The sequence below is a fragment of the Homo sapiens genome, chromosome 7 (assembly GCF_000001405.40).
Source record: "Homo sapiens chromosome 7, GRCh38.p14 Primary Assembly".
Taxonomy (NCBI): Eukaryota; Metazoa; Chordata; class Mammalia; order Primates; family Hominidae; genus Homo; species Homo sapiens.
The window spans coordinates 79012968-79035461 of NC_000007.14; the positions used below are offsets into that span (position 1 = coordinate 79012968).

General features: G+C 37.0%; 1 protein-coding gene and 1 pseudogene across 12 annotated transcripts in view; one reads left to right on the forward strand and one right to left on the reverse strand.

Annotated features, from left to right (window-relative positions):
- The window catches only part of MAGI2 (membrane associated guanylate kinase, WW and PDZ domain containing 2), a 1436613-nt gene that overhangs the window by 995913 nt on the left and 418206 nt on the right, over positions 1-22494 (reverse strand). The gene's annotated exons all lie outside the window — the stretch shown is intronic.
- RNU6-337P (RNA, U6 small nuclear 337, pseudogene) lies at positions 17273-17378 on the forward strand (annotated as a pseudogene).

The window sequence follows — 22494 nt, forward strand, 5'->3', positions numbered from 1 at the left end:
TCACCCTCATAATTTAATTACCTGTCAAATAGCCCCACCTCCTAATGTAATCACCATGGGGGTTAAGATTTCAATATATGAGTTTTGGACAAACATTCAGTCCAAAACAATGGGTGTAGGACCAAATAACATCTCCTCTAGGTCTAAATTTTATGCTTCCCTATAAAATATTTGCTAAGTGCATCTTATAATTTGGGATTTCTTTTGGTAACAAGACAACCAAATTATTTTACTATTTACTTATAGTTTACAAATTAGCTATACTCCATAAGAAATAAAACTATGAATAATCTCCTTTTGATATTGTTTTCTAGTTGTGGAATTATTCAGGAATCTTACATCATCAGTAGACAACTGACTTCAGACCTTATCTTCATCAAATAAGTAGGAAAGTAGTTAAGCAAAGCAGTCTGTGAGGAATTAGAAGAGAAGGAAATCTACCCATATGCTGTAAGATATTTTAATGAGTAACCGCAAATGTACCTTAGGTTAATTGATTGGATGGTGGATAAGTTGAGGAATAGACAGGAAAGTATTATAGGGCTGTGTTGTTAAGTTCCTTTTTCAAAAATAGTTTCTGCTTGGCTCACCTCAAAAATGAGAAATAAATCACAAGAAAGTTGATTGATTCTGCTAAGAGCCACAGACACAAAACAGGTGACAGACATATCTAATCTAGCCTGCCAGAACAGCCTCCATTCCCTTTTTAGGTAGAAATTGTGTCTTTGATTTCTGATGATCTAGAGGCCCATCTCATTTTCAGGTGGCCAGAGTACTACACAAAATCACTGCATGCATTTGATCTAGACTAGACAGTCTATAAATTATGAGGCAGTAAAATTCTCCTTCCCCTAATAATTCCCAATTTGCCTATTTTAAATAGGAAAGCCATAAAGCTCATTGAAGATGCCCTGGTTTGTTAGTTTTTCCATAGCTGAAAATTTTTACTTACATGACAATTTCTATCCCTTCAATATTTTATTCATAATATTAGAGAGTATAGACAATCTTTTTAATCATGCTTTAATATCTGTGCTGTTTCTTCAAAATCTTTGTGGTATTGCATGTTTTGTATAAGAAATGGAATAAGAAAGACAAAATATATTAAACATTTGCAGATCATTAGAAGATTTAAAACTAAAGAGAATAATTGCTATTTCAGAGAAAATGACAGAGATAAATGTAAATGGTTTATAATATTCTCTAGCTCAATTGAAAATAGCTTTTTTATTATTTCCTTTCCCCTACTATTGTACAGATGGGATATTATTATTGAGTTTCATTTTTCATTGTTAGCCTTGGTCTCAAACTAAATGTTAGAGTTGTTCCTATAGTTATGATATTTCCTTCCATTGAGAAGAGAAAATGAGTTCTCAGTACATGCCAGGCATCATAGTAGGTACCTGAAATTTTATTATCTGAAAATATGAACTATGAACCCAAAGTTGAAAACAATCTCAAGTATATCAAAATTTTTAATAATGTACCAATGGCTAATACAGTCTAATAAGAGCATATATCCTATTAGTTTCTTTAATTACCTAACTCTTACAAATTAGATGTTCTTCATACAAAGCAGGAAGTCACACCAAATTCAGCATAATGAAAGGAAAAATATATATGGGTAAAAGGGACATAATAATCTAACCTAAATTCAATCCATTTTTTTTAAAACTAGAGATATACCACTCTAAATTTAAAAGGGAAAAGCAATCTATTAGGATAGTTATGAAGGAGTTTAAAATTATTGAAGGTTAATAAACCTCATAGGTATAAGGCTTCTACATAAAACACTTACTAAGATTATTAAACTGAAGAAAAGCCACTGTTGTCCAAAATATCTAGATAATTTAGCAGGCAAAATTTTTTCTTCTTAGAGTCTTGGTTTATTGCCTCTCTAACTTCACTCCAAAGTTTCAGTATAAAAATTTTAAAATGTAATGATAAAAATATCACAATTGTTTTTGTTCTTGGTAAGTCCAATTTAAGAATGCATCCACATTAATAAAAAAGCAAAAGAAAATGCTCATACTTTGGTATGCTTGAAATATCTTCATTCATAAAACTAAAAGTGAACATGTAAATGGTATTTAAACAATGAATATTTAAGCTTATTTCATTTTATATTAGCAAGGTCTATCCCCAAGTCAACTGAAAAACATTTGACATTATTTTGTGTTTTAAGAACTATAAAGCCAGGTCAGGCCAGCCATACGGTGGCTCATGCTTGTAATCCCAGAACTTTGGGAGGCTGAGGCAGGAGGATCACTTGAGGACAGGAGTTCCAGGTCAGCCTGGGCAACACAGTAAGACCCCATCTCTATAAAAATGAAAAATTAAAAAAAAATTCTTAAAAGCCAGGTCAGTCCTCTAATATTTTTTTTCAACCTGCTGACACTTAAAAACTCTCCAATGATCTGGTACAATACATGGTTCACTCCAAATGGCTTTATCCTTAAAAGTATCACGACACAGAACACCTTGCCCAAATCAACAAAAAAGAAACTCCAGCTTTGTTTTTGATTGCATTTTACAATGGAAACACAAAGAAATTCCCTGGCAAATCTCATTCCAAACAACAGACTAATATAGCCTGCATAGTCTGTGTTGTGATGGATCAGTACTAATGAAGTTATAACAATTATAGGGTCATGATTTGAACTGCTACAAGACTGATTTCAAATGCGGAATGTGTCCCAAAGGTTTATTTTGGAATGCAGAATGGTTTTTACTGTAGAAAAATGTTGTATATTATAATTATGTCCTCGGCCCACCTATAAGTCTTTTCATTCATTAGGCAACTGAAATGCACAATTTATGGTATGTTGGAAACAAATTGTTGTTATACATGTACAGCATCCCCATGAGAGATGGGGACATTGGGAAGACTGGCATACTTCTAGCAGATCTTCAGAGGGAAGATCCATTGAAAATGGAGAGAGGGAAGACACAGATACTGGGTCAAAGGGGCAGGAAGCAGGGAACCCTGCAAAGGGAGTTATTTCTAGCCCTCAATGACTCCTGGAGAAGCGGGGGGGGGGGGTGGGGGTTGAGCAGGCAAGGAGCAACACATTCTCCCTGGGGGCCCCTGGAATCCTGCCAGCAGGAGACTACATGAACCCCATGGACAACTGAGCTGGCAGAGAGAGCTGCTTAGAGAAGTAGTATGGGCAGAACTCCAGCCATTGTGGAACCCAGAGAGTTTGGTGTGGGAGCATCTGGAGTGGAGCACTACTAGGGACACCCATCCCCCAGGGCTGCCTTGCACCCTTAGGAAACTTAAGGCCTAAGAAAACTGTTGGACCTGAACATTGCAGGGTGATCTTGCTCATGAGGCTGGGCCAGTCCGACCAGAGCACCTTTGGTCTGCTGGCCTCTCCTGTGACCCCAGCTAGGCCTGATTGCAGTGCAGCCTCAGAAATCTAGGTTGTGGTAGCCTCCTGGTGGCACGCATCATAGCTCCTGCACTGACAGACTGTACTTGACCAGTAAACAGCTCCAGTAGGGTGCCCCAATAGAGTGTCCCTGCAAACATGCACCTGTCCACCTATGCCCTTCTCCTACCACAGTCTCCCCTGAGTTGCTTTGCTGGCACGCACTTGTCCACAACCACCCCCCTACATTGCTTTGCTGAGGCAGGTAAGCTTGGGTAGACCTTGCCTTCCCTTCCCTGCCAGATGCGTGTGCACCATGCTGTGACACAGCTGCCAGTGTGAGTGAACCCCAACCCTCCAACACTCCCCCAACAGTGCTGCCATTGCTATTGGAGCATTGGCTAGCATGGAAACTGGAGACTGTCAGCCCCACACCCACCTGCACCCCACCCCTATGCCAATATTGCCACTGGTGCAAAACTACAAAAGTAGACCAACTGATCTGCCCCCAACCCCAGCAGCAGCTGCCATCTACGTTAATGCATGAACACAGGACACACAGTCCCATGCCTGCCAGTGCCACATCCCTATGCTAACATTTTTGCCCATGCAAATGCATGCACGGACACTGGCGAGGCCCCGTGCATCTCCACATAGTGGTGCCCTGCCAACACTGCTGTTGCAAGTGCCCCAACAAAGGCCAGCACATCTGTTCCCATCAACACTCAGCCATAGCTGATGAGCATGCAACTTGCAGCACTGCCGCTGCTGCTGGCACATAACAAATAAGGACCAATCCTGCTGCCACTGCCCTATGAAGTGCTGAGGCTGGCACCACCCATCAGAGAGTTCTAGCCAGCTGTCTGGAAACAATTCAGGCCCCTCCAGTGAGTTAGGTTCCTAACCTCCAGGGGCCACAGAATAAAGCTGGGGCCCATACTGGCCCCCTAGAGTTAGAGCACACAGTTCAGGAGTTATGACCTGAGCCCTGGCCCCCTAAAGTCCTTCAAAAATGAAACCAGTCAACTGAACCCACCTTATGCCATAATCAACCCCCCAAGGACATCAAATAGGATAGAAGAAAAAGAAATCCAAAGGTCATCAACTTCAAAAACTGAAGCAACATCAGCCCACGAAGATGAGAAAGAACCAGCACAAGAGCTCTGGCAGCTCAAAAAGCCAAAGTGGCTTCTTACCTCCAAATGACCACACTAGTTCCCCAGCAACAGTTCCTAACTAGGCTGAGATGGCTGAAATGATAGAAATAAAATTCAGAATATAGATAGGAATGAAGATTACTGACATATAGGAGAAAGTCAAAACCCAATTCAAGGAATCTAAGGTTTACAATAAAACAGTATAGGAACTGATAGACAAAATGGACATTATATGAACAAACTGATCTGATAGAGCTTAAAAACATGGTAGAAGAATTTCATAATGCAATCACAAGTATTAACAACAGGATTGACCAAGCTGAGGAAAAAAAGTCACAGCTTGAAGACTGGCTCTCCAAAATAACTCAGTCAAAGAAAAAGGAAAATAAAAAACCACAAGGAAAATAAATAAAGCCTCTGAGAAAGATGGGATTCTGGAAAGAGACCCAGTCTATGACTTATTGGCATGCCTGAGAGACAGGGAGAGAAACCAAGCAACTTGGAAAACATATTTCAGAATATCATCCATGAAAATTTCCCCAATTTTGCTAGAGAGGTCAACATTCAAATTCAGAAAATTTAGAGAACCCCTCCAAAATACTACACAAGATTCTCAAAGGTCATAATGAAGAAATGTCAAAGGCAGCTAGAAAGAAGGGTCAGCTAACCTACAAGGGGAACCCCATCAGACTAACACTAGTCCTGTCATCAGAAACCCTACAAGCAGAAGAGATTGGGGGAATTCAGCATTCTTAAAGAAAAGAATTTTCAGCCAAGAATTTCATATATGGTCTAACTAAGCTTTCGAAGTGAAGGAGAAATAAAATCCTTTTCAGAAAAGCAAACGCTAAGGGAATTCATTACTATCAGACCTGCCTTTCAAGAGATCCTAAAGGAAGTAGCAGTTATGAAAAGGACAAACTGTTACCAACCACTACAAAAGCACATTTAAGTACATAGACTAGTGACACTATAAAGCAACCACACAAACATGTCTGCATAATTACGAGCTAACAACCTGATGACAGGATCAAATCCACACATATCAACACTAACCTTGAATGTGAATAGAGTAAATGCCCCAATTAAAAGGCACAGAGTGGCAAGTTGAATAAAGAAGCAAAATCTAACAATGTGCTGTCATCAAAAGACCCATCTCACATGAAGTGGCAGCCATAGGCTCAAAGAAAAGGGATGGAGAAAAATCTACCAAGCAAACAGCAAACAGAAAAAAGCAGAGGTTGCTATTCTAATTTCAGACAAAACAGACTTTAATAAACATAAAAAAGTCAAAGAAGGGCATTACATAAAGGTAGAGGGCTCAATTCAAAAGAAGACCTAACTATCCTAAATATATACACACAGAGCACAGAAGCAGCCAGATATATAAAGCAAGTTTTTAGAGACCTACAAAGAGACATAGATAACCACAAAAGAATAATGGAAGACTTTAACACTCCACTGAGAGTATTAGACAGATCATTGAGGCAGAAAGCTAACAAAGATATTTCAGGACCTTAACCAAAAGCTTGAAGAAATGGACCTAATAGACATCTACAAAATTCTCCACCACAAAAGAACAGAATGTACATACTTCTCATTTGCACATGACACACACTTTAAAGATGACCAAACAGTTGGGCATAAAACAACACTCAGCAAATGAAAAAACCCAAAATTATACCAACCACAATTTTGGACCATTATATGATTTGGCTCTGTGTCCCCACTGAAATCTCACCTTGAATTGTAACAATCCCCACGTGTCAAGGGCAGGACTGGGTGGAGATAATTTAATCATGGGGGCAGTTTCCCCCATGCTGTTCTTGTGATACTGAGTGAACTCTCATGAGATCTAATTGTTTCATAAGATGTTTCCCCTTTCATTCAGCACTCATTCTCTATCCTGCCACCCTGTGAAGAGGTGCCTTCTACCATGACTGTAAGTTTCCTGTGGTCTCCCCAGCCATGTGGAACTGTGAGTTGACTAAACCTCTTTTCTTTATAAATGACCCAATCTTGGGTATTTCTTTTTTCTGTTTTTCTTTTTTTCTTTCTTTTTTTTTGAGATGGAGTCTTGCTCTGTCACCCAGGCTGGAGTGCAGTGGTGATCTCAGCTCGCTTCCACTTCTGCATCCTGGGTTCAAACAATTCTCCTGCCTCAGCCTCCCAAGTAGCTGGGACTACAGGTGTGAACTACTATGCCTGGCTAATTTTTGTATTTTGAGTAGAAATGGGGTTTCAGCATGTTGGCCAGGCTTGTCTCGAACTCCTGACCTCAGGTGATCCACCTGCCTTGTCCTCCCAAAGTTTTGGGATTACAGGCATGAGCCACTGAGCCTGACCTAGTCTTGGGTATTTCTTCATAGCAGCATGAGAAGAGACTAATACAGTAAAATTGGTACCAGGAGTGGGGTGCTGCTGTAAAGATACCAAAAAATGTGGAAGCAAATTTGGAAATGGGTAAAAGGCAAAGGTTAGAACAGTTTGGAGAGCTCAGAAGAAGACATAAAGATGTGCGAAAGTTTGTAACTTCCTAAAGACTTGTTGAATGGCTTTGACCAAAATACTGATAGTGATATGGACAATGAAGTCCAGGCTGAGGTAGTCTCAGTTGGAGATGAGGAACTTGTTGGGAACAGGAATAAAGGTGACTCTTGCTATGCTCCAGCAAAGAGATTGGAGGCATTTTGTTCCTACCTTAGAGACGTGTGGAACTTTGAACTTGAGAGAGATGATTTAGGGTATCTGGTGGAAGAAATTTCTAAGCAGCAAAGCATTCAACATGTGACTTTGGTGCTCTTAAAAGCATTCAGTGTTATGTATTCACAAAAATATGTTTTGGAAATGGAAGTTATGTTTAAAATGGAAGCAGAGCATAAAATTTTAGAAAATCTGCAGCCCCACAAAGTGATACAATAGAAACACCCATTTTCTGAGGAGAAATTCAAGCCTGCTGCAGAAATTGCATAAGAAATGAGGAACTGGTCAGGCGCGGTGGCTGATGCCTGTAATCCCAGCACTTTGTGAGGCGGAGGCGGGCTGATCATGAGGTCAGGAGATTGAGACCATCCTGGCTAACATGGTGAAACCCCATCTCTTCTAAAAATACAAAAAATTAGCTGGACATGGTGGCGGGCTCCTGTAGTCCCAGCTACTGGGGAGACTGAGGCAGGAGAATGGCATGAACCCAGGAGGTGGAGCTTGAAGTGAGCCGAGATTGCATCACTGCACTGCAACCTGGGTGACAGAGCAAGACTCTGTCTTAAAAAAAAAAAAAGGAAAGAAAAAAGAAATGAGGAGCCAAATGTTAATCGCCAAGACAATGGGGAAAAATGTCTCCAGGGCATGTCAGAGGTCTTCACAGCAGCTCCTTCCATCACAGGCTCAGAGGCCTAGGAGGAAAAATGGTTTCATTGGCTGGTTCCAAGGCCTTGCTGCTTTGTGCAGTCTTGGGACATGGTCCCCTACATGCCAGCTGCTTCAGCTCCAGCTGTGGCTGAAAGAAGCAAAGGTACAGCTTGAGCCATTGCTTCACAGTGTGCATGCCCCAAGCCTTGTCAGCTTACAGGTGGTATTGGGCCTGCAGGTGCACAGAAGTCAAGAAATGAGGTTGGGGAACTTCTACCTAGATTTCAGAGGATGTATGGAAACACCTGGATGTCTAGGCAGAAGTCTGCTGCATGGGTGGAGCCTTCATGAAGAACCTCTGCTAGGGCAGTGCAGAAGGGAAATGTGGGTTTGGAGCCCCCACACAGAGTCTCCACTGGGGCACTGCCTAGGGGAGCTATGAGAAGAGGACCACCATCCTTCAGACCCTAGAATGGTTGATCCACACAGATTGCACTATGTGCCTGTAAAAGCCACTCAACACCAGCCTGTGAAAGCGGCTGGGAGGGGGCCTGTACCCTGAAAAGTCACAGGGGTGGAGCTGCCAAAGGCCATGTGAGCCCACTTCTTGCATCAGTGTGACCTGAATGTGAGACATGGATTCAAAGCAGATTATTTTAGAACTTTAAGGTTTAATGACTGCCCTATTGGATTTCAAGTTTGCATGGGGCCGGTAGCCCTTGTTTAGGCCAATTTCTCCTATTTGGAATGGGTGTGTTTACTCAATGCCTATATCACCATTGTATCTAGGAAGTAACTAACTTGCTTTTGATTTTACAGGCTCATAGGTGGAAGGGACTTGTCTTGCTTCAAATGAAACTTTGGACTTGAGCTTTTGGGCTAATGCTGGAATGAATTAAGATTTTGGGGGACTGTTGGAAGGGCATAATTGTGTTTTGAAATGTGAGGACATGAGATTTGGGAGGGGCCAGGGTGGAATGATATGGCTGCGTCTTTGTCCCAACCAAATCTCATCTTGAATTGTAAGAATCCCAATATGTCAAGGGTGGGACCAGGTGGAGATAATTGAATCATGGGGGCAGTTTCCCCTATGCTGTTTTTGTGACAGTGAGCGAGTTCTCTCAAGATCTGATGGCTTCATAAGGGTTTCCCCCATTTGCTCAGCAGTCATTGTCTATCCTGCTGCCCTGTGAAAAGGTGCCCTCCACCATGATTATAAGTTTCCTGAGGCCTCTCCAGCCATGTGGAACTTTGAGTCAATTAAACCTCTTTCCTTTATAAATTAACCAGTCTCTTTTATTTCTTCATAGCAGCATGAAAATGGACTAATACAGACCAAAATGCAGTAAAAATAGAAATTAATGCTAAGAAAATCACTCGAAATAATACAATTAAATGGACATTAAACAACTTGCTCCTGAATGACTTCTGGGTAAACAATAAAATTAAATCAGAAATCAAGAAATTATTTGAAACTAATGAGAAAAAAATACCACATACCAGAATCTCTGAGATACATCCAAAGCAGTGATAAGAGGGGAGTTTATAGTGCTAAACACCCATATAAAATAGTTAGAAAGATTTGAAATTAACCACCCAACATCATATCTAGAGGAACCAGAGAAATAAGAGGAAATGAAATCCAAAGCTAGCAGGAGACAAGAAATAACCAAAATCAGAACTGAAATGAAGGCAATTGAGACACAAAACCCTACAAAACATAAACCTTCTTTGAAAGAATTAATAAGACAAATACACTGCTAGCTAGACTAGTAAGTTTAAAAAGAGACAAGATCCAAAAAAAAAAAAAAAACCACATTCAGAAATGACAAAGGGGACATTACAACTGGCCACACAGAAATACAAACCCCTTAGAGAAATACTTCTATGCAAACAAGCTAGAAACCTAGAAAATTATTCTGAAAACATACACCATCCCAAGATTGAACCAGGAAGAGACTGAATACCTGAACAGACCAATAACAAATTCTGAAATTGAATCAGTCATAGAAAGCCTATGAACCAGAACAAGCTCAGGAACAGACAGGTTCACTGCCAAATTCTACCAGATATATAAGGAAGAGCTGGTACTATTCTAAAAAATTGAGGAGAAAAGATTCCTCCCTAACTCATTCTATGAAGGCAGCATCATCCTGCATAAAAACTTAGCAGAGACACAACAAAAAAATAAAACTTCAGGCTAATATCATTTATGAATATAGATGCAAAATTCCTCAACAAAATACTAGCAAACCAAATCCAGCAGTACATCAAAAAGTGTATCCACCATGATCAAGTGGGCTTTATCCCTAGGATGCAAGTTTTGTTCAATATACAAATCAATAAGTGTGATTCATCACATAAACAGAACTAAAGACAGAAAACAACATGATTATATCAATAGATACAGAAAAGGCATTAAATAATATTCAACATCCATTCATTTAATAACCCTCTACAAACTAGGCATTGAAGGAACATATTTCAAAATAATAAAAGCTATCTATGAAAAACCCACAGCCAACATCATAATGAATGGGCAAAAGCTGGAAGAATTCTCCTTGAAAACTGGAAGAAGACAAGGATGTCCTCTCTCACCACTCCTATTTAACATAGTGCCGAAAATCCTAGCCAGAGAAATCTGGCAAGAGAAAGAAATAAAAGACATTCAAATAGAAAGAGAGGAAACCAAACTATCCCTGTTTGTTGATGATGTGATTCTATACCTCAAAAACCTCATAGTGTGTGCTCAAACGCTTTTTGATCATATACACAATTTCAGCAAAGCTTCAGGATATACAATCAATGTACAAAAATCAGTAGCATTCCTATACACCAACAACATCCAAGCTGAGAGCCAAATTGAGACTGCAATTCCATTCACAATAGCAACAAAAAGAATAAAATACCTAGGAATACAGTTAACCAAAGTGGTGAAATATTTCTACAATGAGAATTAGAAAACACTGCTCAAATAAATCAGAGATGACACAAACAAATGGAAAAATATTCCATGCTCATGGACAGTACGAATCAATATTGTAAAAATGGCCATACTGCCCAAAGCAATTTACAGATTTAATACTATTGCTATCAAATTACCAAAGACATTCTTCACAGAATTAGAAAAAAAAATTTTAAATTCATATGGAACCAAAAAGGATCTCCAATAGCCAAGGCAATTGTAAGCAAAAGAACAAAGCTGGAGGCATCACATTTCCCAATTTCAAACTATACTACAAGGCTACATTCACCAAAACAGCATGGTACTGATACAAAAACAGACATAGAGACCAATGGAACAAAATAGAGAGACTATGAATAATTCCCCACACCTACAATCATCTGATCTTTGAGAAAATCCACAAAAACAAGCAATGGGGAAAGTATCCCTATTCAATAAGTGGTGCTGGGTTAACCGACTTGCCATATGAAGAAGATTGATACCGGACCCCTTCCTTACACCATATACAAAAATTAACTCAAGATGGATTAAACACATAAGTCTAAAATCAAAAACTATAAAAACCCTGAATGATAACCTAGGAAATACTATTCTGGACATAGAACCCAGCAAAGGCTTCAAGACAAAGCCACCAATAGCAATTGCAACAAAAACAAAAATTGACAAATACAACTTAATTAAACCAAAGAGCTTCTGCATAGCAAAACAAAACAAAACAAAACAAAACAAAAAACTATCAACAAAGTAAAGACACAACCTAAAGAATGGGAGAAAATATTTGCAAACTATACAACCAACAAAAGTCTCATATCCAGAGTCTGTAAGTAGCTCAAACAAATTTACAAGCATAAAAACAACAACCCCACTAATGAGGGGGCAAAGGACATGAACAGTTTTCAGAAGAAGACATATGCATGGACAACAAGCACATGAAAAAAAGCTCAATATCACTAATGATTACAGAAATGCAAATCAAACCACAATGAGATACCATCTCTCACTAGTCAGAATGGCTGTTATTAAAAAGTTAAAAAAAAAACACATGCTGGCGAGGTTGTGGAGAAAAGGGAACACTTATGCATTGCTGCTGGGAATATAAACTAGTTCAAATATTGTGAAGGGCTGTTTGGTGATTTTTCAAGGAACTTAAAATAGATCTACTATTTGACCCAGCAATCCCATTATTCAGTATATACCCAAAGAAATATAAACTGTTCTACCATAAAGAGACACATATGCATATGTTTATCACAGCACTATTCACAATAGCAAAGACATGGAATCAACATAAATGCCCATCAATGGTAGACTGAATAAAGAAAATGTGATACCTATATACCATGGAATACCATGCAGCCATAAAAAAATGAGATCATATCTTTTGCAGTACCATGGATAGAGTGGGAGGCCATTATCCTAAACAAACTAACACAGGAACAGAAAACCAAATACTGCATTTTCTCATGTATAAGTGGAGGCTAAACATTGAGTATGTGGACACAAAGAAGGGAACAACACACATTGAGGCCTACTTGAGGGTAGAGGTTGGGAAAAGGATGAAGATCAAAAAACTACTTATTGGGTGCTATGCTTATTACCTGGGTGATGAAGTAATTTGTAAACCAAACTCCTGTGACATGCAATTTACCTATATAGAAGCCTCCACATGTACCCCTGAGCCTAAAATAAGTTTTTTTAAAAAGGAATAGAATGTGTGTTTGTGTGCATGCATGCATGGGTACATATTTGTTAGTGAAGCAGCTGGGGATGCACAATAAGGAGTAAAATAGCTATTGGGTATGTGTCCGTAAAAAGAATTAGAACGTTGGTAGAGGAAGGACCATGGGAAGATTTCTTTATCAGTCTTGTCCTAGGTTGTTATCACTCTCACCACTGAAAGACAAGGTCCTGATCTGACACAGAAAAATGAAAAGTGGAAACTGAGTTGGAGAGACTGATCCTATACCAACGTCAGAGATTTCAGTGGAAAACAAAATGGCAGAAAGACCTACAAGTATTGTAAACTGGAAAAGAAAGCTATTTATTCCTGTTGCCAAGTGGCTATAAAAGAAGTATATGAGGAAGTAGTATCAAGCAGGAAGTAGTAATCAAGGACTATGACAGTGAATTATATTATAATTGACTTTTACTGAATTATAAAATAGCATCTTCCAACTAGTGTTTTAGGGACCACTTATACACTTACCAGGCATACTGCTCTAGATTGGTGCATTCAATTGTCCTTACCTGAAGTCTATCAGTTAAAATTTCCTGAAAATTCACTTTTAGACATCTGAGGCTACATTGCCTCTAGAAATACAAGGAAGACTAAGCCAGATATGGGAAAAATAAAGAATACATAATTAATCAAATATATTCTCTATTGCCCAATTAATCAAATATATTCTCTATTGCCCCCATTCCCTGATTACATGCAAAGTTGTCCATAATTTTTAAACCTATTAAAGGATATTTGAAGGATGCAGTCTTAAGCAACTTTGGCTCATCCCTTCAATTACTTGCAAGGAAAGCCTATTGAAAATATGTCTTTGATGTAACTTTCACTTTTACTGAAATATTACTATTTGTACTTAAGAACAATAACTTTTTATAAAAAATGTCACGTAGAAGCAAGAGTGTGGACACACAACACATGGATTGGGGGGAAATATTTGCAAGCCATATATCTGATAAGGGGTTAATACACAAAATTTATGAGGAACTCAAACAACTCAATAGCAAGATAACAAACAACCCAACTTAAAAAATGGGCAAGAAGCCAGGTGTGGTGGCTCATGTCTGTAATCCAGCACTTTGGGAGGCTGAGGCGAGCAGATTGCCTGAGCTCAGGAGTTCGAGAGCAGCCTGGCCAACATGATGAAACCCCGTTTCCACTAAAAATACAAAAACTTAGTCCGGTGTGTTGGTGCATGCCTGTAGTCCCAGCTATTTGGGGGCTGAGGCATGAAAATCGCTTGAGCCCCGAGAGGCGGAGGTTGCAGTAAGCCAAGATCGGCAATCCAGCCTGGGAGACAGAGCAAGACTGTCTCTGAAAAAAAAGAAAAAAGAAAAAAAAATGGGCAGGAGAGCTGAATAGACATTTCTCAAAAGAAGACATACAAATGACCAAAAGACATATTTAAAAAATGCTTAATTCACTAATTATTAGAGAAATGCAAAATTAAAACCACAATGAAGTATCACTTCACATCTGTCATCCTGACAGATGAAAGATAAGTGTTGGTGGGGATGTGGTGAAAAGGGAATCTTTGTACATTGTTGGCAGAAATGTAAATTAGTACAGCTGTTATGAAAAACTGTATGGAGTTTCTAAAAAAAATAGAATTACCATATGATCTAGCAATCTCACGTCTGGGTATTACTCAAAGATTTGAAATGAGATTGTCAAAGAGCCATCTATACTCCCCTGTTCATTGAAGCAGCATTCACAATAGCCATTTCATGGAATCAACCTAAGTGTTCATCAACAGGTGAATGGATAAAGAAAATATTATATATATATTTAATATATATATTAAATACAATACCACCCAGCCTTTAGAAAGAAGGAACTTCTGTCATTTGCAGCAACATGGATGGGATTGGAGAACATTACGCTAAGTGGAATAAGCTAGGCACAGAAAGACAAGTGCCACATGTTTTCGCTTGTATGTGAAATCTAAAACTACTGAACTCATAGAAGCCAAGAGTAGAATGGTGGTTGGGAATGAAAAGATGATGGTCAAAGGGTACAAAATCTCCGTGAAATAGAAATTTTATTTTTAGATATACTGCACGATATGGTGAATGTACTTAACAACAGTGTATTGTACATTTCCAAATTGCTGAGAGTAAATTTCAAATGTTCTCAACCAAAAAATAAGTATTTGAGATGGTGGATATGATAATTAGCTTGATTTAATTATTCCATCTTGTATTAATAAATCATAGCATCATTTTGTAATCTATAAATGTATAGAATTATAAGTTGTCAATATAGAATAATTTAAAAAAAATCATGTGACTACCCAAGAATAATTTTCAAAATCAATAAAAATAACGGAGGCTACAAACTTCATTGTAAATGGATTTTTATTGCTTTGGCAGCAAGGCAGAGAGGACAGTAAGAAAAACATTACAGTAAAAAACATATCTTTGGGAGGCCAAGGTGAATGGAACACCAGGTCAAGAGATCAAGAACATCCTGGCCAACATGGTAAAACCCCGTCTCTACTAAAAATACAAAAATTAGCTGGGCATGGTGGCATGCGCCTGTAGTCCCAACTACTCAGCAGGCTGAGGCAGGAGAATCGCTTGAACCCGGGATGCGGAGGTTGCAGTGAACCAAAATCGCTCCACTGCACTCCAGCCTGGTGACAAAGCGAGACTCCATCTCAAAAAAATATATATATATATGTATGTATATATATATATATATATATATATATATATATGTATGTATGTATATATATATATATGTGTGTATATATATATATATACACACATATATATACATATATATACACACACACACACACACATACACACACACACACATGCATACGCATCTACACAGATACACATATGATGCATAATTTCACATTTTGGGATGGTGCTAGAGAGGCAGTTGTATTTATAGTGCAGAGGTCTAAAGGAAGCCGATGGTTAACTACTTCCTATGGGTAGGCTCAAGGAGTAGAAAATAGTTTTATACTGTCCAATGACTTACCTTTATACAGAACGTTACTATCTTATTATGAGAATCAGGGGCTAGCACAAATACTGCTTTTCCACATTTGTAACAAAATTAATTTTTTGCCTAATATAATTTTTATCTTTAAAACTCAATTACATCCCTGCCTAATTGATGACTTAAATGATTCTCTCAGTCATGACAAACATTTCAAATACATGAGTGCAACAATATTTGCTCGGTGCTACTTTTAAAAGTCCAGGAATGCTCCATGTCATAAAAGAGGGCTCAGACATTACTATATATTTTTTATTTTGGACTGATAAGCTATTGTCTTGGTAATGAAAGGGGTTTTTTTATAAATTACCTATTCATGCAAAAATCTCATTTGAATGAAATTTTTACTGTCTTTTGATAAATAATCAACTTTATACATTAACCAAAATATTTTGTTTTTTGAAAGTAAGTATAAAAAACACAAATGTTATATTTTAAATAGTCTATTTCATGTTTATGGAAGTATGTGGCCAAGTATCCTTAGAATTTTCTGAGGTAGCATTACTATAGACTGCCCCAGACACCTGTTTTTATTCTGTACTACTTAAAATCATACTATGGCAATGAAAAACAACTATTCTGCATAATCATTTCAGAAAATAGTACCATGATTGCTAGCTTTTAGTGAGTAATACTTTCAAGGATAATATCTAATTGCTGACTCCGAAAAATCTGGAGAAATGTTGTAGTTTTTAATATTTTTAAAATAAACTATCCTGTATTAATAAAATCTACAAAGCAGCTATCAATTTCATTAATAATTATACAAATATTTGAAGTCATTCATTAAAGAAGAAAGCTGATTTTAGAGATGTGATTAACTAAAGATGGGGTATTTAAGATAGAAAACACCTTTTTAAAATAAGACCCCCCCAAACCCAACCTGTAATCTTTATCAGTTTCATAGCTATCATTATATTTGGTGACCTGAAATGTTTATATTTTTTTATTCTACCTTCAAACCAGGCAATTCTGTTTTGCAAGTGAGAGAGGATATCATTTTAGAACTCATTTTTAACTTAAGTTATTTAGTGTAAAATGCAGAATGTGAGGCTCAGAGTAGTAAAACTAAATTATTTAAGGTTTTGTTCACTCAGTGTTAATTAACTATAATAATACTGTTGCCTTCTCTATGTGTAAAATATTACCTGTTTCAAAGTTTTAAAATATTTATTACTGTATTTATTCAACCAGAGAACTGTAAAGGGTAAATAGGGTGGTGTTCTAATTTACCAATAATCAAACGAGTTTAGAGATGAATTAACTCTCCTAAACTCACACAACAGAGATGTAATGTTTACTCTGGTCTCTTGATTTTGTTCCAAGCAATTTCTTCACCATGCTAGAAATTCTCAACAAGACAGGGAAGAAGGATAGGCACAGAAAAGGGCATATCCCCAAAATATTAATATTACCTAGTTTATTTTGCATGTGGCACATTAGCCTCCGCATTCAACGCCTCTGAGGATAAGCCACCCCCACTGAGGAGTATGTCACATCCTCCATGGGTACTGGGCCCAAGACCTTGAACTCCTATTTCAAGTGTAGGTTCTAACCTTATATGCAAAAGGCTGAGTTTAATGTTCGAGGAAGTGAAACACGGTATCCAGGAGTTGGTGACTGAAATGGATTTTGTTTTGGTGAGGGAAGAATCAACAATTTTGCCAAGATTTCTGTGTTCACATAGGCAGCACACATAGAACACTGGAATGATACAGTGAAGATGAGCATGGCCCCTGCACAAGGATGACACACAAATCCATGAAGCATTCCATAAAATAAAACAAACAAACAATTTTGCCAAGATTTCTAGGAGAGCGATTGAGAAAATGATGGTAACGTTGACACAGATTAGATTTTGGGACAAGGAGGTATTTTGCTTCACTTTGTTTTTAAGGGTGTGGCAACCTGACAGACCACAGGGACGTAGTTCTCCGTTTTTGTTTTTGTTTGTTCCTTTGTTTTAACACATTGTGAATTTGGGACTAAAAATAAGAAAGCAGATGCAAACATGCTAAATGCATGAACATAGCAGGTGTTTAAGTAGACAGTGGGTGGATGAACACAAAAGAAGGTAACAGAAGAGAGAATCTACTATATTAATGGGAGTGGCATTATCATGGTATATCCTTCTCAAATTATTGATTTTATCTTCCACTTAAAATCAGGAGATACTCTGAAAATCAAAACAGAAATCCCAGAATTATTCTTGGGATTAGAGTTCCCAAAACTTCATTTTAGTATCATGCTTTTCAATTCAAATGACTTGGATTATTTATATACAGCACTGAAGGACAATTTGTATGCAAATTCCATTGTTGGCACAAGTCCATAATTAAATTGCAAAAGCTTGGAATGATATGGAACTTATCACTGATTACTTTCACAAGTGGCTCTCAGGAACAGAATCTCAATAAATCACTGCCATTCTTCTATATTTTTATACATCTGAACAACTAGCACCTTATCAGCATGCTAAGAGTTAGATATAGCAATCATGTTCTTCATGAGCATGATATAAATCTACCAAGAAGCTGCTACAAATCCATCCCTTACTCTTGTTATCATGTTTACAATTACCTTCCCTTTGCCGGTTTTATGTGATTCATATCTCTGCTCAAATATTACTCCTCACTCTATCTCCCACAACTCCATTCTCATCATTCACCATTCTTGTACTCATTTACATGGCATTTACCACTATCTAAAATTATATATTTACTTGTTTATTGTCATCATCCCCTACAATGCAAATTTTGTAGGAGAGACAAGCCTGACACTTAGTAGTTAGTTATTCCATAGGTATTGCTCAATGACAAATGAAATGGATGAAATACAAAGCATTTTTGGAGAGACTATAAACCTCTCATATACAGACCAGTAACAGCATAACAGTAATAATATCACATTATGTCTCAAAATATTGAATTTTTCTATATTAAATGCTTAATAAGCTGCATGACATTTATATTGAGAGCTCAATCTGGACAACTATAAAGGGCAATTAGCAAGTATTCTAAATTATGCCAACTCTTTATAGTTCAGCTACAATGACTAATTGTTGATATTTTGAGATAATTTTATGTATTGATTAAAGGTGTCTTTATAAACAAAAAGTGTTTACTGAATTTGGCTTCCCGATGTAAAATGTATATTTAGTTTCTCCTATTAATAATAAAAAATTGTCCATAATCAAAGCACATTTGTTTTGTAAAAAAAGTTTAAGTATATGATGATTTATGACTTTACTGAGTTTTATTTCCTGCTTTAAATGTTATATAATAATTGATTTAGATTTATCATCCAAATAATCATCTTATACAATCATCAAATAGAAAATAAGAATATAAAAATAATCCTTACTATTTTCAGTATATTCACATCAGGTATGAAACTATAGAGAACATAAACTATTATGCAAACATATTATATTACAAGATTGTACCATAACATGATGGCACCAACTTAATATATAATTTTAGCCCTCAGTTGAGCTATATTTCATTACATTAAGTAAAAATGAAAGTTTTTGACCTAGTGAATCATCATGAGGAAAAATGGATGGCAAATGCAATTAATTTTAATATGTAAATTTTATACTTCAAAGCAGTATTTGCTAAACAAATATTCTCTGTCATTCTTTTGGCTTCGATCAATATAAGACCACAGGGGCCAGGCACGGTGGTTCACGCCTGTAATCCCAGAACTTTGGAAGGCCAAGGCGGGCAGATCATTTGAGGTCAGGAGTTTGAGACCAGCCTTACCAACATGGTGAAACCCCGTCTCTACTAAAAATATAAAAAATTAGATGGGTTTGGTGGCAGGTGCCTGTAATCTCAGCTACTTGGGAGGCTGAGGCAGGAAACTCACTTGAACCCAGGAGGTGGAGGTTGCAGTGAGCCAAGATTGCACCATTGCACTCCAGCCTGGGTGACAGAGCAAGACTCTGACTCAGAAAAAAAAAAAAAAAAGACTGCAGGGCACATTACCCATTATGAGAGTGGAACATCAAGTCTAGGTTTAGATTTATTTTTTAACCATCAACTTATTATGAAATGTTAATTTTTAAAAATATGTAAAAATCTGAAGCACTCTATCTGTAGCTTTCAGGGAATCTATTATTAAAATTAAGCCTGCAGCAAAGGACATTAGTAAAAGGAAAGAGTTTCTAAACAAAATATTTAACACTCAAAGTAGTAAACATATGGACAAGAATGTAGGAATTTCATCAGTTTTTATTAGATGTATCCAGACAAGCAACTTTTAAACTTTTCTAAAATCTGAAATCACTGTAACATTTCCAGAGGTCTTTTAAAGTTCTTTTGAGAAGGACAGGCTACAGCTTCGTGGAGCTATTCATTTACTGTGACAAATTATTTTCCCGTGATGAAGAATGGTTGTAATAGAAGACATAAATTCATTGATAAGTACATGAGTTGTCCAAAAATGGTTTCATCAAAAATACTAAAAGCCAGGAGATTTTTGAACCACAGTCCAGGTTTAGAAGACCTAGTTGAGGTATGCTCTTGGATCTGTTCTATCTATGGAACTCTTCTTTTGCTTCTTCCCAGGTCTCCTTTGTTTCTGTACTAGTGAAACAAAAATCCTGGATGTAGAACTCCTCCATGTATTATCTATACTGGAAATTTCAGAAGGTGATGGACCATAGGCAAATGTGCTTCAAAATAAAGCTTAACTTGATCCAAGCAAGATATATAGCTATATGTTTCTTAAAGGTTTTACACCATTTGGTCACCTATGTGAAGGAAGTATTTCTTTAAACACAACTCAAATAACCATTTTGGTTTTGACTTTTTGTTTGTTTTCTTTGATAATATGTATTATAATTTTCCTTAAAATATTTCAGAATAAACATTTTATATGTGTTTTCTATGTCTATGTCTGTGTAAGATGTGTAAGTAAACTTTAATCTATACCTTATGGACAATTAGTTAGCAGTGGAATACCTTAACCAAGACTCAATACTCCAAAGGAGATTACTTAGGGACTTCAAATGTTTGCATATCTACATTGGCTTGTTATTAATTTGCATTAGGAATCTTGGAAATTAATTTCTATTGCTAAAATTAAGGGTGTTCAGGATACATAGTTGGTTAGAAAAATTGTAGTGGATTCATTGTTATTACATGAACAAAGCATAATAATTTGGCCCAATGGCTTAATATAATAAGGGCGGGGCTTTTGGTCTTCTCTGTCAGTGGTACATAAGGTTCAATCCAGTGGTAGTGGGTGAAGTGGTTAACACTGTAAATAAATTAAGGGTAAAAAACATCTGTAACAACTTATCAGAGTAATTTTATATCTTTGAGTTCTAAATATACTAACAAAACAAACACACCAACGAAAACTACTAGGAACTTGTATTTTGTATTTAAAAAAAATGTTCTAGTAATTAACTATTAATTTTTAGTATATTTTTTAAAAAATTAGTCTTCAAAAGATTAAGAAAAAGATGATATATTGAGACACACTATCCTAGTTCCTTGCTAGCTTTATATTCTTCCATCTACGCTAAATAGAAATTGTTGGGTTTGCTATCATAATGCCACTGAGTTCTCCAAAAGAGTAATCTTTTAGTGCATGGAGCTGTCACAGGACTGAAGGCTGATGATATTGCATAAATGTTGGTTTTTTTTACCATTTCCTTTCCTTTTGCTTTTCCTTTCCTTGTTTATTCTGCTTAATAAAAATATTGTTATGTTTGACAAAATTTGACCTGTCAAATGTAACGTAATGATCTTTAAATTTAAATTACATTTCAGTGCAATACCCTACTGGTATCCAGGTTGCGGGTGAGTATACAAACTCCAATATTTACCAAAATAACTTTCCAGTTGCTAAAATGCCAAATATAGGCTTAGTTTTGCCATTTCTTTCCCAAGTTCAATCAGCCCTTTTGCCACTGCTCCTATTTTGAAACCCATGTAATTTGTATTTCCTGTTGTTTTTTTCAAAGGCTCAGAGGTATAGACTCATTACTAAGAAGGTGAATACACAATCTTTGTGAAGGAGCAGAATTATATATGAAGTTATAAAAGATACTCAAAGAACTTTCTCCAGGGGATTATAACTAAATCTTCACTCCCAGCTGCCTCACCTGTCAATTAGCCAGAGTGTGACCAAAATGGCAGCAGGCAAATGTGAAAAATCCAATACTGACCATAAGCACATAAGACGAAACCACTCACCCTTGTCCTTCGTCAAGGTAGAAATCTGCTTCAGCAGTACTTTCAAATACAAAGGACAATAATATGGCAATAACAACTGGCAGCTTTCCCGGATTTAACTGCTCTCTAATTTTGTATTAACTTCAAGAAAGATGAATTTCTTAATAACGAATTAGGGCTTTGAGTTGCTGTCTAGAGCAGACTGGCAATTTGACTGATATCCTAAATGTAAACCTTAATGATTACCACTTGGATACTTAAAGTTCTGCAATTGCTCCTACTAGGTTTATTACGAGAGAAATAATCACCTCTACAGATGTTTTTTGACACATAATAAATTGAAAAGCATGAAATCCTTGCTATAAAGTATTTGTTTTGGAACATCTACTTTCCAAACACATGACTATTTTTGAATCAGTGCATTCCCACAAAAAAAAGTGTGTGTGTGTGTGTGGTGGCGGCGGGGGCAGGGGGGGTGGTGGGCCTGTGTGTTGCTGCTCTGGAAGTTAAGGTGATTGAAATATTGTTCTATTGTTGCTCTACCAGCATCATTTTAGTTTTGCTTTATGAAATATTTGAAATGAAAAGCAGTGTAAATCTATTAAGACTCAAAAGTGATTCATACTATGTGATTGTGGAACTGGGTTTATCTGTCTCACATTATTAGTAAAATAGTTGCCTTATGTCACATAAACATCTGCAACATGAC